General features: G+C 38.3%; 1 protein-coding gene across 2 annotated transcripts in view; it reads right to left on the bottom strand.

The window, feature by feature from the left end:
* SATL1 (spermidine/spermine N1-acetyl transferase like 1) overlaps positions 1-13,901 on the bottom strand; it is a 151,496-nt gene that overhangs the window by 37,363 nt on the left and 100,232 nt on the right. Inside the window, exon 3 of one of the 2 annotated variants that reach the window (NM_001367858.2) lies at positions 13,195-13,372. The exons of the other annotated variant lie outside the window; for it this stretch is intronic. The gene's annotated coding sequence lies outside the window, so the exon portion shown is untranslated. The remainder of the gene's footprint in view (positions 1-13,194; positions 13,373-13,901) is intronic. 2 annotated transcript variants of the gene reach the window in all.

Genomic DNA, 13,901 nt, shown 5'->3' on the forward strand with positions numbered 1-13,901 from the left:
TTGCCTGATTGCCCTGGCCAGAACTTCCAACACTGTGTTGAATAGGAGTCGTGAGAGAGGGCATCCCTCTCTTGTGCCAGTTTTCAAAGGGAATGCTTCCAGTTTTTGCCCATTCAGTATGATATTAGCTGTGCGTTTGGCATAAATAGCTCTTATTATTTTGAGATGCGTTCCATCAGTACCTAGTTTATTGAGAGTTTTTAGCATGAAGGTCTGTTGAATTTTGTCAAAGGCCTTTTCTGCATCTATTGAGATAATCATGTGGTTTTTGTCTTTGGTTCTGTTTATGTGATGGATTATGTTTATTTATTTGTGTATGTTGAACAGGCGTGCATCCTAGGGTTGAAGCCAACTTGTTCATGGTGGATAAGCTTTTTGATGTGCTGCTGAATTCGTTTTGCCAGCATTTTATTGAGAATTTTCACATCGATGTTCATCAGGGATATTCATCTAAAATTCTCTTTTTTTGTTGTATCTCTGCCAGGCTTTGGAATCAGGATAATGCTGGCCTCATAAAATGAGTTAAGGAGGATTCCCTCTTTTTCTATTGATTGGAATAGTTTCAGAAGGAATGGTGCCAGCTCCTCTTTGTACATCTGGTAGAATTCGGCTGTGAATCCATCTGGTCCTGGACTTTTTTTGGTTAATAGGCTATTAATTATCACCTCAATTTCAGAGCCTGTTATTGGTCTATTCAGAGATTCACCTTCTTCCTGGTTTAGTCTTGGGAGAGTGTATGTGTCCAGGAATTTATCCATTTCTTCTAGATTTTCGAGTGTATTTGCATAGAGGTGTTTATAGTATTCTCTGATGGTAGTTTGTATTTCTGTGGGATCGGTGGTGATATCTCCTTTATCATTTTTTATTGCATCTATTTGATTCTTCTCCCTTTTATTCTTTATTAGTCTTGCTAGCAGTCTATCAATTTTGTTGATGTTTTCAAAAAACCAGCTCCTAGATTCATTGATTTTTTGAAGGTTTTTTTGTGTCTCTATCTCCTTCTGTTCTGCTCTGATCTTAGTTATTTCTTGCCTTCTGCTAGCTTTTGAATTTGTTTGCTCTTGCGTCTCTAGTTCTTTTAATTGTAATGTTAGGGTGTCAATTTTAGATCTTTCCTGCCTTCTCTTGTGGGCATTTAGTACTGTAAATTTCCCTCTACACACTGCTTTAAATGTGTCCCAGAGATTCTGCTACATTATGTCTTTGTTCTCATTGGTTTCATAGAACATCTTTATTTCTGCCTTCATTTTGTTATTTACCCAGTAGTCATTTAGGAGCAGGTTGTTCAGTTTCCATGTAGTTGTGCGGTTTTGATTGAGTTTCTTAATCCTGAGTTCTAATTTGATTGCACTGTGGTCTGAGAGACAGTTTGTTGTGATTCCTTTTCTTTTACATTTGCTGAGGAGTGCTTTACTTCCAACTATGTGGTCAATTTTGGAATAAGTGTGATGTGGTGCTGAGAAGAATGTATATTTTGTTGATTTGGGATAGAGAGTTCTGTAGATGTCTATTCGGTCTGCTTGGTGCAGAGCTGAGTTCAATTCCTGGATATCCTTGTTAACTTTTTGTCTAGTTGATCTGTCTAATGTTGACAGTGGGGTGTTAAAGTCTTCTACTATTATTGTATGGGGGTCTAAGTCTCTTCGTAAGTCTCTAAGAACTTGCTTTATGAATCTGGGTGCTCCTGTATTGGGTACATATATATTTAGGATAGTTAGCTCTTCTTGTTGAATTGATCCCTTTACCATTATGTAATGGCCTTCTTTGTCTCTTTTGGTCTTTGCTGGTTTAAAGTCTCTTTTATCAGAGACTAGGATTGCAACCTCTGCTTTTTTTTTTCTTTCCATTTGCTTGGTAGATCTTCCTCCATCCTTTTATTTTGAGCCTATGTGTGTCTCTGCACGTGAGATGGGTCTCCTGAATACAGCACACTGAAGGGTATTGACTCTTTATCCAATTTGCCAGTCTGTGTCTTTTAATTGGAGCATTTAGCCCATTTACATTTAAGGTTAATATTGTTATGTGTGAATTTGATCCTGTCATTATGATGTCAGCTGGTTATTTTGCCCATTAGTTGATGCAGTTTTTTCCTAGCATCAATGGTCTTTACAATTTGGCATGTTTTTGCAGTGGCTGGTACCAGTTGTTCCTTTCCATGTTTAGTGCTTCCTTCAGGAGCTCTTGTAAGGCAGGCCTGATGGTGACAAAATCTCTCAGCATTTGCTTGTCTGTAAAGTATTTTATTTCTTCTTCACTTATGAAGCTTAGTTTGGCTGGATATGAAATTCTGGGTTGAAAATTCTTTTCTTTAAGAATACTGAATACTGGCCCCCAGTCTCTTCTGGCTTGTAAGGTTTCTACCGAGAGATCTGCTGTTAGTCTGATAGGCTTCCCTTTGTGGGTAACCTGACTTTTCTCTCTGGCTGCCCTTGACATTTTTTCCTTCATTTCAACCTTGGTGTATCTGACAATTATGTGTTTTGGAGTTGCTCTTCTTGAGGTGTATCTTTGTGGCATTCTTTGTGTTTCCTGAATTTGAATGTTGGCCTGCCTTGCTAGGTTGGGGAAGTTCTCCTGGATAATATCCTGAAGAGTGTTTTCCAGCTTAGTTCCATTCTCCTCGTCACTTTCAGGTACACCAATCAAATGTAGATTTGGTCTTTTCAATAGTCCCATATTTTTTGGAGGCTTTGTTCATTTCTTTTTACTCTTTTTTTTTCTAAACTTCTCTTATCGCTTCATTTCATTAATTTGATCTTCAATCACCGGTACCCTTTCTTCCTCTTGATTGAATTGGCTATTGAAGCTTGTGCATGTGTCACATATTTCTCATGCTGTGATTTTCAGCTCCATCAGGTCATTTAAGGTCTTTTCTACACTGTTTATTCTAGTTAGCCATTCATCTAATCTTTTTTCAAGGTTTTTAGCTTGCTTGCAATGGTTTCAAACGTCCTCCTTTAGCTCAGAGAAGTTTGTTATTACTGACCTTCTGAAGCCTACTTCTGTCAACTTGTCAAAGTCATTCTCCATCCAGCTTTGTTCTGTTGCTGGCATGGAGCTGCTATCCTTTGGAGGAGAAGGGGCACTCTCGTTTTTAGAGTTTTCAGCTTTTCTGCTCTGGTTTCTCCTCATCTTTGTGGTTTTATCTATGTTTGCGCTTTGATGATGGTGACCTACAGATGGAGTTTTGGTGTGGATGTCCTTTTTGTTGATGTTGATGCTATTCCTTTCTGTTTGTTAGTTTTCCTTCTAACAGTCGGGTCCCTCAGCTGCAGGTCTGTTGGAGTTTGCTGGAGGTCCACTCCAGACCCTGTTTGCCTGGGTGTCACCAGCAGAGGCTGCAGAACAGCAAATATTGCTGCCTGATCCTTCCTCTGGAAGCTTCATCTCAGAGGGGCACCCAGCTGTATGAGGTGTCAGTTGGCCCCTACAGGGAGTTGTCTCCAAGTTAGGCTACATGAGGGTCAGGGACCCACTTGAGGAGGCAGTCTGTCCATTCTCAGAGCTCAAACACCATGCTGGGAGAACCACTACGCTCTTCAGAGCTGTCAGACAGGACATTTAAGTTGGCAGAAGTTTCTGCTGCCTTTTGTTCAGCTATGCCGTGCCTCCAGAGGTGGGGTCTACAGAGGCAGGTGGGCCTCGTTGAGCTGCGGTGGGCTCCACCCAGTTCGAGCTTCCTGTCCGCTTTGTATACCTACTCAAGCCTCAGCAATGGTGGACACCCCTCCCCCAGCCAGGCTTGCCACCTCACAGTTCGATCTTGGACTAGCAGTGAGCAAGGCTCCATGGGTGTGGGACCCGCTGAGCCATGCGCAGGATATAATCTCCTGGTGTGCCATTTGCTAAGACCATTGGAAAAGCGCAGTGTTTAGGTGGCAGTGTCCTGATTTTCCCAGTACAGTCTGTCACAGCTTCCCTTGGCTAGGAAAGGGAAATCCCCTGACCCCTCATGCCTCCCGGCTGAGGCAATGCCCCACCCTGCTTCATCTTGCCTTCTGTGGGCTGCACCCACTGTCCGACCAGTCCCAATGAGATGAACCAGGTACCTCATTTGGAAATGCAGAAATCACCCGTCTTCTGTGTCAATCATGCTGGGAACTGCAGACCAGAGCTGTTCCTATTTGGCCATCTTGGACCAATCCTCTGAAGTGAATTATTTTATATTATTGCCTTATATTGCCACTTAGAATTTACATAAATCTTTTGCTTGATTAAATTATTTTAATGTCTCCTGTTTTATATAATTATCAATTATGATATAGAAAATGCTATATTCACATTGTTTTACATAGAAAATATTAAATTTCTTTCTTTTCATTGTTCAAAAAGAAACTGAAAGAAATACACATTTTAGAGTGCTCTTGAAGAAAATAAGTGAATTTTGCACCAGGAAGAAGAACATTTCTTCCCTGCTCAGAATTAAAGCTTCAAAAGCATATGTGAACTCCTAATTAATGAGTGTTTCAATAATAACATAAAGCATCTACAAATATATATGTATGTGTGTATGTATATATATGTGTGTGTGTGTGTATAGTGTGTGTGTGTGTATAGTGTGTGTGTTTGTGTGTGTGTATACTATTAAGTTTATTGTTAATGGAAAGCTTCAAGATGGAAGTATTTAAAAAGAGACATTAAACCTAAAATGAGAAATGTCTGACTCATGAGAAAGGGAAGGTATGAAAGGAGGAGAATGTACAACCTTGCAGATTAAATTGAAGGTAGAGGTGAAGCTCTCATTTACTTAACCATTCATTCAAAAAATTTGATTACCTTCTATGTGCCAGGTAGGTATAATGCTAGGCACTAGGGAGACAAGAAAATGAATAGACAAATCTCTGTTTTCAAGAGTCTCAGTATTGTTGGAGAGGCAGTCCTATATATAGATATAAGTCAATGTAAGTGCTGTGCTAGAGATATGCAGAGGGTGCCAAAGGAGCAACAGAAAGAATATCTATCTCAAAGTAAAGATCAAGTAAAGCTTCCTGGAAGAAGCTTCCTGAGCTGAGTTTTAGTTGGGAAATAGAAGTTATTCATGTTAAATGAGAATGGTATGTATTCCAGGTAGTAAAAGAAGCTTTTATGAAAGTCTGAAGATAACAAAATGCGAGGAGGATGCCAGGGGTCTGTAAGGTTTTCAATGCTTAGAGTATGAGGAAGGAGTAGCAACAGATAAAGCTGAAGAGGTAGGTGGTAGCTAGATCTTGAAAGGACTTGGTATGCCATGCTAAAATGTTTGGATTTATCCTGAAGGCAACTGAGAATCATCAAAATAATTTAAAAGTAACAGTGACATGATAAGTTTTATCTTTTAGAGAGATAACCCATGGAATACTATGCAGCCACAAAAAAGAACAAGATCATGTCCTTTGCAGGGACATGGATGGAGCTGGGAGCTGTTATCCTCAGCAAACTAATGCAGGAAGAGAAAACCAAATGCTGCATGTTCTCACTTACAAGTGGGAGCTGAACAATGAGAGCACATGGACACATGGCAGGAAACAACACACACTGGGGCCTGTCGGTGGGGGACGGGGGTAGGGAGAGCACCAGGAAGAATAGCTAATGAATGCTGGGCTTAATTCCTGGCTGATGGGTTGATCTGTGAAGCAAACAACCATGGCACATGTTTACCTATGTAACAAACCTGCACATCCTGCACATGTACCCCGGAACTTAAAAGTTGAAGAAAAAAAAACTTCAAATATTTTCTAAGTGATAGTCTTGTGCTGCAGAAGTGAAATGTGAAATAATGGGTGTGTTATACTGCCTTACAATTTTGTTGGGAAAATTACAACAAAAATCAATACTTGATTCACTCTCCTTGGTTCTGAGAAGTACTGCATTTAATTATAAATTATATTTTGTTACTTATAAAATAAAATGCATTTGCTTTCATTAAAAAAAAAAGAGTGAGATAAATCTTGTGTGTGTGTGTGTGAGACAGGGCCTCACTCTGTCACCCAGGCTGGAGTGCAGTGGCATGATCTCGGCTCACTACTGCCTCGACCTCCCAGACTCAAGCGATCCTCCCCCCTCAACCCCCGCACCTGAAGTAGCTGAGACTATAGGCACTCACCACCGTGCTCGAGTAATTTTTTTGTACTTTTCATAGAGATGGGGTTTCACCATGTTGCTCAGGCTGGTCTCAAACTCCTGAGCTCAAGCGTTCCATCTGCCTTGGCCTAGCAAAATGCTAGGATTATAGGCATGAGCTACTGTGCCCAGCCTAGAGAGATAAATCTAATGAAAAAAGGAAAGAGCCAAAACCGGTTAGGAGTTGTTGTTTTAATCTAGGTAAATTATAGCAATAATAATAATGAGTTCCTGAAATAAAGCAGTAGAGGTAGGGAAGAAAAAGGACACAATTCAAGAGTTATTTAGGAGGTAGAAGTGAGGAGAGTTGGTGACCAACTATTAATACATGTGAGGATGAGGGGGATCGTAGGGCAGAGGAAGACCCCTGGATTTTGGGCTTTCATGAATAGTTGAGAGTGCAATTTAATGAAACATGGCATATAGGAGAAAGAATAGATAGGGAGACAAGATTATGAGTTCAGCTTCAGTCATATAAAATTTTAGGTGTCTTTGAAATTTCCAAGCAGAGATGTTCATTAAGCAGTTGGATATCTACACTGGAGATAGATTTGAGAATATTTTTATAGAGTATAGATGAAGACATAATCACAGTGAGATTACTCAACAAAGAGTACAAAAACTTAGATCAGAACCCCAATGATATAATCCTAAGAAGTCCCAATGTTTATGGAATAAATGGAAGAAGAAGAGCACCTGAAGAAGACTGAAAATATTGTCTATAGAGGTATGGGGAAAGTCTGGAAGACAGTAATGTCACAGAATCTAAGGGAGCAGAGAGTTTCCAGAAGGGAGTTGTCACCAGTGTCAAAGGCTGCAAATGTTCACAGAAGATCAGGTTGGAAAAGTGCCTGCTGGATTTAGCAACTAGTAAGTTATATATAACCTTGGTGTATACAGTTTCAATTTCAGTGGCCTGAAGGGAATGGAATAAAAATGCAGTAGGCTGAGGAGTAGTAAGAAGTGAGGAAGCCCAAGGACATTTTCTTTGGTAGCCCCACAAATATTTTCTTTTGGGAGCTCATAGCAAATAGTAAAGTGTACCTGCCTTCTCATTATATATAATTTCTCCCTGTAGCATTTATTAAAAGATTTTCAGCAAAAATAAGTGAGCATAGGCAATGAGTGATTATTACTCTTCCAACAGGCTGTGCTATAAAGAAAAGGCAATAAATAGTGATAACTCTCCCCTCTCCCCATCTCTGTCTGTCGCTCTGTCACTGAAAATACTTGAACATGTTTAAATACTACTGGGAAGGAGCCAACAGAAAGGAAGAGGTTGAGGATTCAGAAAAGAGGGGAATAATCGATGGAAAAGGAACCACAAAGAGGCAGAAAAGCGTGGGCTCAGGAACACATATGGAAGAATGGGATTCGTTAGGATTGGGAAACACCTCTTCCATTGAGATGGGAATGGAAGAGTTAAGGATGAACGCCAATGCAGAGAAGTTTATAGTTGGGGGCTGAATGGTAAGGACCAGGGAGTGGAACAGTTCTTACATCATAACCCCAATTTTACCCCATGAAAATTTTTATTTGGAGTAGTGAAAGTCTGAAATAGTAGGTGAACGTAATAATTGAAAGAGATGACTAAGATAAAGTGATGCTAGGGGGCAATGAATATTTCATGCTCTTCATCTCTATTCTTATATCCCATTTCCAATCCATCAGGAAATTCTACAACTTTATCTTCAAAATATACCCCAAATCCAGCCACTTTTCTCCACCTACACTGCCACCACCCTAGTTTGAACTATCACCGTCTCTCTTTGATTACTGTAATAGCTTTTCCCACTCCACTCCACCCCACCTCTACCCCACTCTGGCTTCTTTCAAGATTTTCTCTTTGTCTTTGATTTTCAGCAGTTTAAATTATATATCTAGGTATAGCGTTTTTGGTATTTATCCTGCTTAGTATTCTCTGAGATTCCTGGATCTGTGGTTTGGTGTCTGCTATTAACTTCAGAAAATTATCAGCCATTATCACTTCAAATATTTCTTCTGTTCTTTTCTTTCTTTCTTCTCCTTCTGGTATTCCCATTATGCATATGTCATAGCTTTTTAATTGTCCGACAGTTCTTAGGTATTCTACTTTTTTAATTCTTTTTTTCTCTTTGCATTTCAGTTTGGGAAGTTTCTACTGAGATATTTTTCAGCTCAGATTCTTTCCTCAGCCATGTTCAGTCTACTAATAAGCGCATCAAAAACATTCTTCACTTCTGTCACAGTGTTTTGATTTCTAGCATTTCATTTTGATTCTTTCTTAGGGTTTCCATCTCTCTGCTAACATTACCTATCTATTCCTGTATATTGTCCACTTTTTCCATTAAAATCTTTAGCATATTAATCATGCTTATTTTAAATTTCCTGTCTGAAAATTCCAAAGTCTCTGCCACATTTGAGTCTGGTTCTGGTGCTTTGTCTCTTCAGACTATTTTCCCTGCCTTTTGGCATGCTTTGTAATTTTTTACATGATGTATCAGATAAAAGGAGTGTGAGGTTTTATGTTTATCTGGCTAGGAGTTAGGTGCTTAGTGTCTGCTGTAGTTGTGGTACCGACAACTAAAATTTTCCCTAGTGACCTTGGTTTTGTCTCCCCTGTTGGGAGTTTTCCTGGAGCCTCCTTAAATAGAGTCTGAGTCTTGCAGCTCTCACAGTTGTGATCCACTATTATTATACTGCAGCCCTGTTGATTTGGTAGTAAGGTATTGAAAGTGTGAGAGTCCCCCTAAGAATGTGACTCGGGAGTTTTTTTTGTTTTTGTTTTTGTTTTTAACTCCCAAGCAGGTCCATTCTCAGCTTATAGCAATTTGTCAATCACCATTTAGGTGTTCCTACCAGTTATTGACTCCAGTGGTTTCTGCTCCAGCTAAATTAATCTGGGCTTTTATTTCTTTGCATAACAGGAGCAGATTGGTAACGAAAAAGTTTGACTGAAGTGGGTTCAAGATAGAATAGGGAAGAAATATTGGAAACAGCATTTCTTTTGAGGAGTTTTGCTGTGAATGGGAGTAGAGAAAAGAAAAATAGCTGAAGGAAGATATGGGGCAAATATTTTTTGTTTTGGAGATTAAGGAAATCAGAGCATATTTATTGATGAGAATGATCCAATGGAAAGCTGAAAATTCTAATGCAGGAGAGAAATGAAGATTTTCTGCAGCAAAGTCCTTAAGTAGGCAAGAAGAAATGAGATGGGAGCCAATGTACAAGTTATTATTATCATTGAAAATATTATTATTACTTTTTTACTATTATTCCTTTCAGTACAAATGTTCAAATGATCTTTGGCTTGCCTGATTCATGTGAATCTGTTTCTACTGTTCTATGCAGAATTTTCTAGCCGTTTGCTGACCACCATCATAAGGAGACTTTCACTTCAATAAATCACAATTTGGAGGCCAGGATGGAGCCTTAATCCTACCAGAGTCCCTCAACATTTGGGATAAAGTATTTAAATGGAGAGGAGCCTAGAATCTATAATAACAGCTAATACTTTTATAGCATCTATGTGCCAAGCACTGTGGTAAATACACACATGTATATATGTATATGTATTTATCATATACGTAAATTGGGTACATATCTATACACAACCTCATTGGGTTATTGTGATAAAAATATGAGTTGATATATAGAACTCATATTATTATCACAGTAACCCACTGAGGTACATGCTCTGTTATTCTCATTTTACAGATGGAGAAACTGAAATATACAGCTAGTAAATGGGGGAGTCAAGAGATATGAACCCAAAGTCTTGGGCTCTGGAGTCTACATACTTAACCCTACCATAAATCTTTTCCTTTTCTGAGCAAGAATTCATTTAAGGCCATGATGATAATGTCAAGGTTCACTGAGCTTAGTTCAGTCTCTGAAGAGAGGAACACAAGCTTAGTTCCTCATTACACTGTCCTGAGAAATCTTCGTAAATCTCAGAAAGAGCCCTCAGATTAATCTCATTTTCTTATGGCTCATTATTTATGAATTTGTCTTTGTCCATAAACAGGTAAAGTATACTATGCCTTTTTCAAGATAAGAATCTGACTTTATTTTACAGTAGATTTACACTATTTCTATGAACACCCCAACCTGCCTTTTAAAAATATTTTTACTAAAGTATTACATTCAGAAAAGTATCATAAATGCACAGTTAGATAAATCTTCACACAGTGAGCAAGCCCATGTAACTAGTACCTAGATCAAGAACCAGAACATTATTAGCACCCCAGTGTCCCCTTCTTGCCAACTCTCAGTCACTATCCTCCTAAATGTAACTGCTATTAGCTTGTTATGTTTTTGAACTGAAATCCAAACTATTAGATTGGTATATTAATGGCAAAAACAGCAATTACATTTGAACCAATCTAATACTTTTAAATTAACCCCTACTTCCATTAACAATCTACACATTTCTTGCCTGATTTTTTCCAACTCATTCAAGGATGAAAGCTAAAATTGTGTCATGTCCTGCTCACCTAAATGACCACATTTTGTTCTGAGTTTTTATTTGAACTATGTTTATGTGATAAAATAATAAATAATAATAGTAACCACACTTACTGAGCACTTACTATGTGCCAGGTAAATGTTTTACTTGTCTAATCCCCATAACAACCCTAAGAGGGTGGTATTATATTTTAATTTCTACTTTTCAAAAGAGGAAACTGAAGCACAGAGAGATTAGGTAACCTTCCCAAGGCCACACAGTTAGCAAGTGGCAGAATTAAGGTAATTTTTTTCTCCCTTTGAAATATGTTTGGCCATATGTAGATCAGACAAATATATCCTAGTTCATCTGGATGGACTCTTGTTATTATAAGATTAGTTTTAATGAATTATTTAAATACACTTATCTATTATATCTGATTATACTTTAATTGCAGTCCACACTGAATTCCCCCTTATACAATCAATTCAAAATTTAGAATCCATTGTTAACCTTCTTGGATTTAATTGTGTCCTGTTTCATGCATCAGATTAACAGGTTGCTAGCTACTGTTCCCAATGTGTACAATACAGAATATTTACGTTATATCCCTAGAATTTTTTTCAAAGGCATTTTGGTTGTTCCATATTATTGTCCCTTTAATTAACATGGTTTGTCAGAATACTTTTGGCTGCAAGTAAGAGAACACCCAACTAAACATATTTTAAACAGCAAAGATTTATTAATAAATCTCACATAACAAGAAGTCTTAAGTTAGGCAGTCCCAGGCTTGATTCATTAGTTCACTGAGGTTATCAAGGACCCTATTTTTTTCCCCATCTTTCCGCTCTGGAACCTCCAGTTTATTGGGATGATTCTTCTCAGAGTTGCAAGATGACTGCAGCCATTCCAAGCATCACATCATGACACAGCTGTATGCAAAGCAGGCAGAAAGGGGCTGCAAGGGAAGGCTGCCCTTTCCTTTTTTACTGAAGAAACTTTCTGAGAAACCCCAGCAAACTTCCCCTTATGTCTCATTGGCTAGAATTGTTCCATGTGGCCACTCCTAGCTGCAAGACAGGCTGAGATAACAGTAATTAACACTCCCAGCCTCTGTTGGGAGAAGAAAGGTGTTTATTGGGCAATATGTTGTTAGATAGGTAACCACCATTATGTGCTTCACATAGATAATTTACAGCTAACCTTAATGTCTTAGAAAGGATATAGATGAAGAAAGGCAATATTAACTACACCCATAGTATATTGGATGTGTAAGCTGAAATGTTGCCTTCCTATGACTTGTCAGTCTGATAGTCTTGATGCTACTGTATTTCTGAAGTCTCACCATATGGTAGGACTTTCTAAGTGTGTCACAGTGAATTTGCTCCATATTGGCTGGAAGTTTCAGGAAAATAGAATTTGGTTTAATAGAAAGAAGTATATTTCTGACAGAGCTGGTTGTTTCCAGAAGGTTTGAAACACATATCACCAAAATGTTTAAGTAGAGTGCTTCAGTTTACAATAACAACAATAATAATTACAATAATAACATATAAATTCTGAATCAAGAGATACTCAGCCTCCTGTCAAAAACCAATGGATTTTTGTAGAGGGAATTCATGTGGAGCTTAGATAAAGAATTAGAGTCTATCTATGATTTATAACCTTTTGTATCTTATTTCTTACTAAAAACTCAAATAATTATTTGTCTCTTACCATAATGAAAACAAATAAACAAAAATGCCTGTTTTCCAAAAATGTGCATGTATATTTTCATAATATTGTACTAATATTAGGTTGGTGCCAAAGTAATTGCTGTTTTGCCATTAAAAATAATTGCAAAAACTGCAATTACTTTGGCACCAACCTAATAATATTAAGTACATACTTTATTGCTATGATATTATAAAACAAGGAGATCATTTTTTAGAAATTGAAGTAGAGGCCGGTCACGGTGGCTCACGCCTGTAATCCCAGCACTTTGGGAGGCTGAGGCGGGTGGAACACGAGGTTAGGAGATCGAGACCATCCTGGCTAACACGATGAAACCCCGTCTCTACTAAAAATACAAAAAATTAGCCAGGCGTGGTGGCGGGCACCTGTAGTCCCAGCTACTCAGGAGGCTGAGGCAGGAGAATGGCGTGAACCCGGGAGGAAGAGTTTGCAGTGAGCCGAGATCACACCACTGCACTCCAGCCTGGGTGACAGAGCGAGACTCCATCTCAAAAAAAAAAAAAAAAAAATTGAAGTAGAGTTGTTGAAAGCAAACAAATTATACCAGGTCAAGGTAAGCTGGGTAGATAAAAAATTATCTGTATTAACAGGTGGCATGAAAGTTCAACCTGAAGCTCTCATGAAACTGCAATTTTATTAGTGGCAAGAAAGGAAGAATGGTGAATAAAGTACAATAATAGATACATTCCAGCAGAAATACTTACATAAAAATAAATACACATGCCAGTAGGTGGGGAGAAGAGTGGATTCTGAGACACACATGGGCTACAAGGTTAATGATAGCTTGTCAAGGTGACTTAGATGGAAAATATATGGCAGATATGATTAGGTGAATTGGCGTCCTGACAAATGTGGATCTAAGGAGAAAAAGAGAGAAAATATCCTAATGAAAGCCTGGTATCCCAACTGGATTACATCTGTATTTGTTTCCTTACCAGATACTTCCTTCTCTGTCTTCTCTTTATTTTCTCCTCCTGAAAACTCTCCTAACTTTTGTTTATCTTTTTCTGCCCTCTTCCACTTTCATTTCTTTCTCTTATCTTTTCTTCATCTCTTCTCTTTGCCAGTGATACCCAATGATGTCCTCAGATGATTGTTCAGCACTCTTGGTGGCTGTAAGGTCAGAGATCTCTGGTTATGAGCAGGGTTGGAAAATGTATTAGTAGCAATATGTTTCAAGCAAAGGTTTAACTTTGGCAAATAATAAAACATGAACCTTAGTACAAAGATGAACAAATAGTTCTTGGAAATAATAAATGGCTATGACTGAACTCAAGTGGTATACAACTCATACACAATTCGTGCATGTTCCATATACAGGAAGTATAGATATGGGGATCTGACAAGTGTACAACCAAAAAGTTAACTGGTAATTTATACATGCTGTAAAGAACAAGTTCAAAATCCATGGTCCCTTATCTCCTATATAAACCATTCACAATCTCTGCTGATTGCCTCTCCTAATTGCAGCAGTCTTTAAATGTAGTTGTCAAGACTGCCTTCTTCTATCTTACTCTCATGATGGTGGATCGCTTGTTTATACTGTCTTGAATTCTGTTCATCTCTTGGTGTTTTCTGACTGTACGTTGTGAATAACGTAAGAAAAATTTTAGTTGCTTTATTTCTATAGGTTAAAGGTATA

This window comes from Homo sapiens, chromosome X (assembly GCF_000001405.40).
Source record: "Homo sapiens chromosome X, GRCh38.p14 Primary Assembly".
In the NCBI taxonomy this organism is placed as follows: Eukaryota; Metazoa; Chordata; class Mammalia; order Primates; family Hominidae; genus Homo; species Homo sapiens.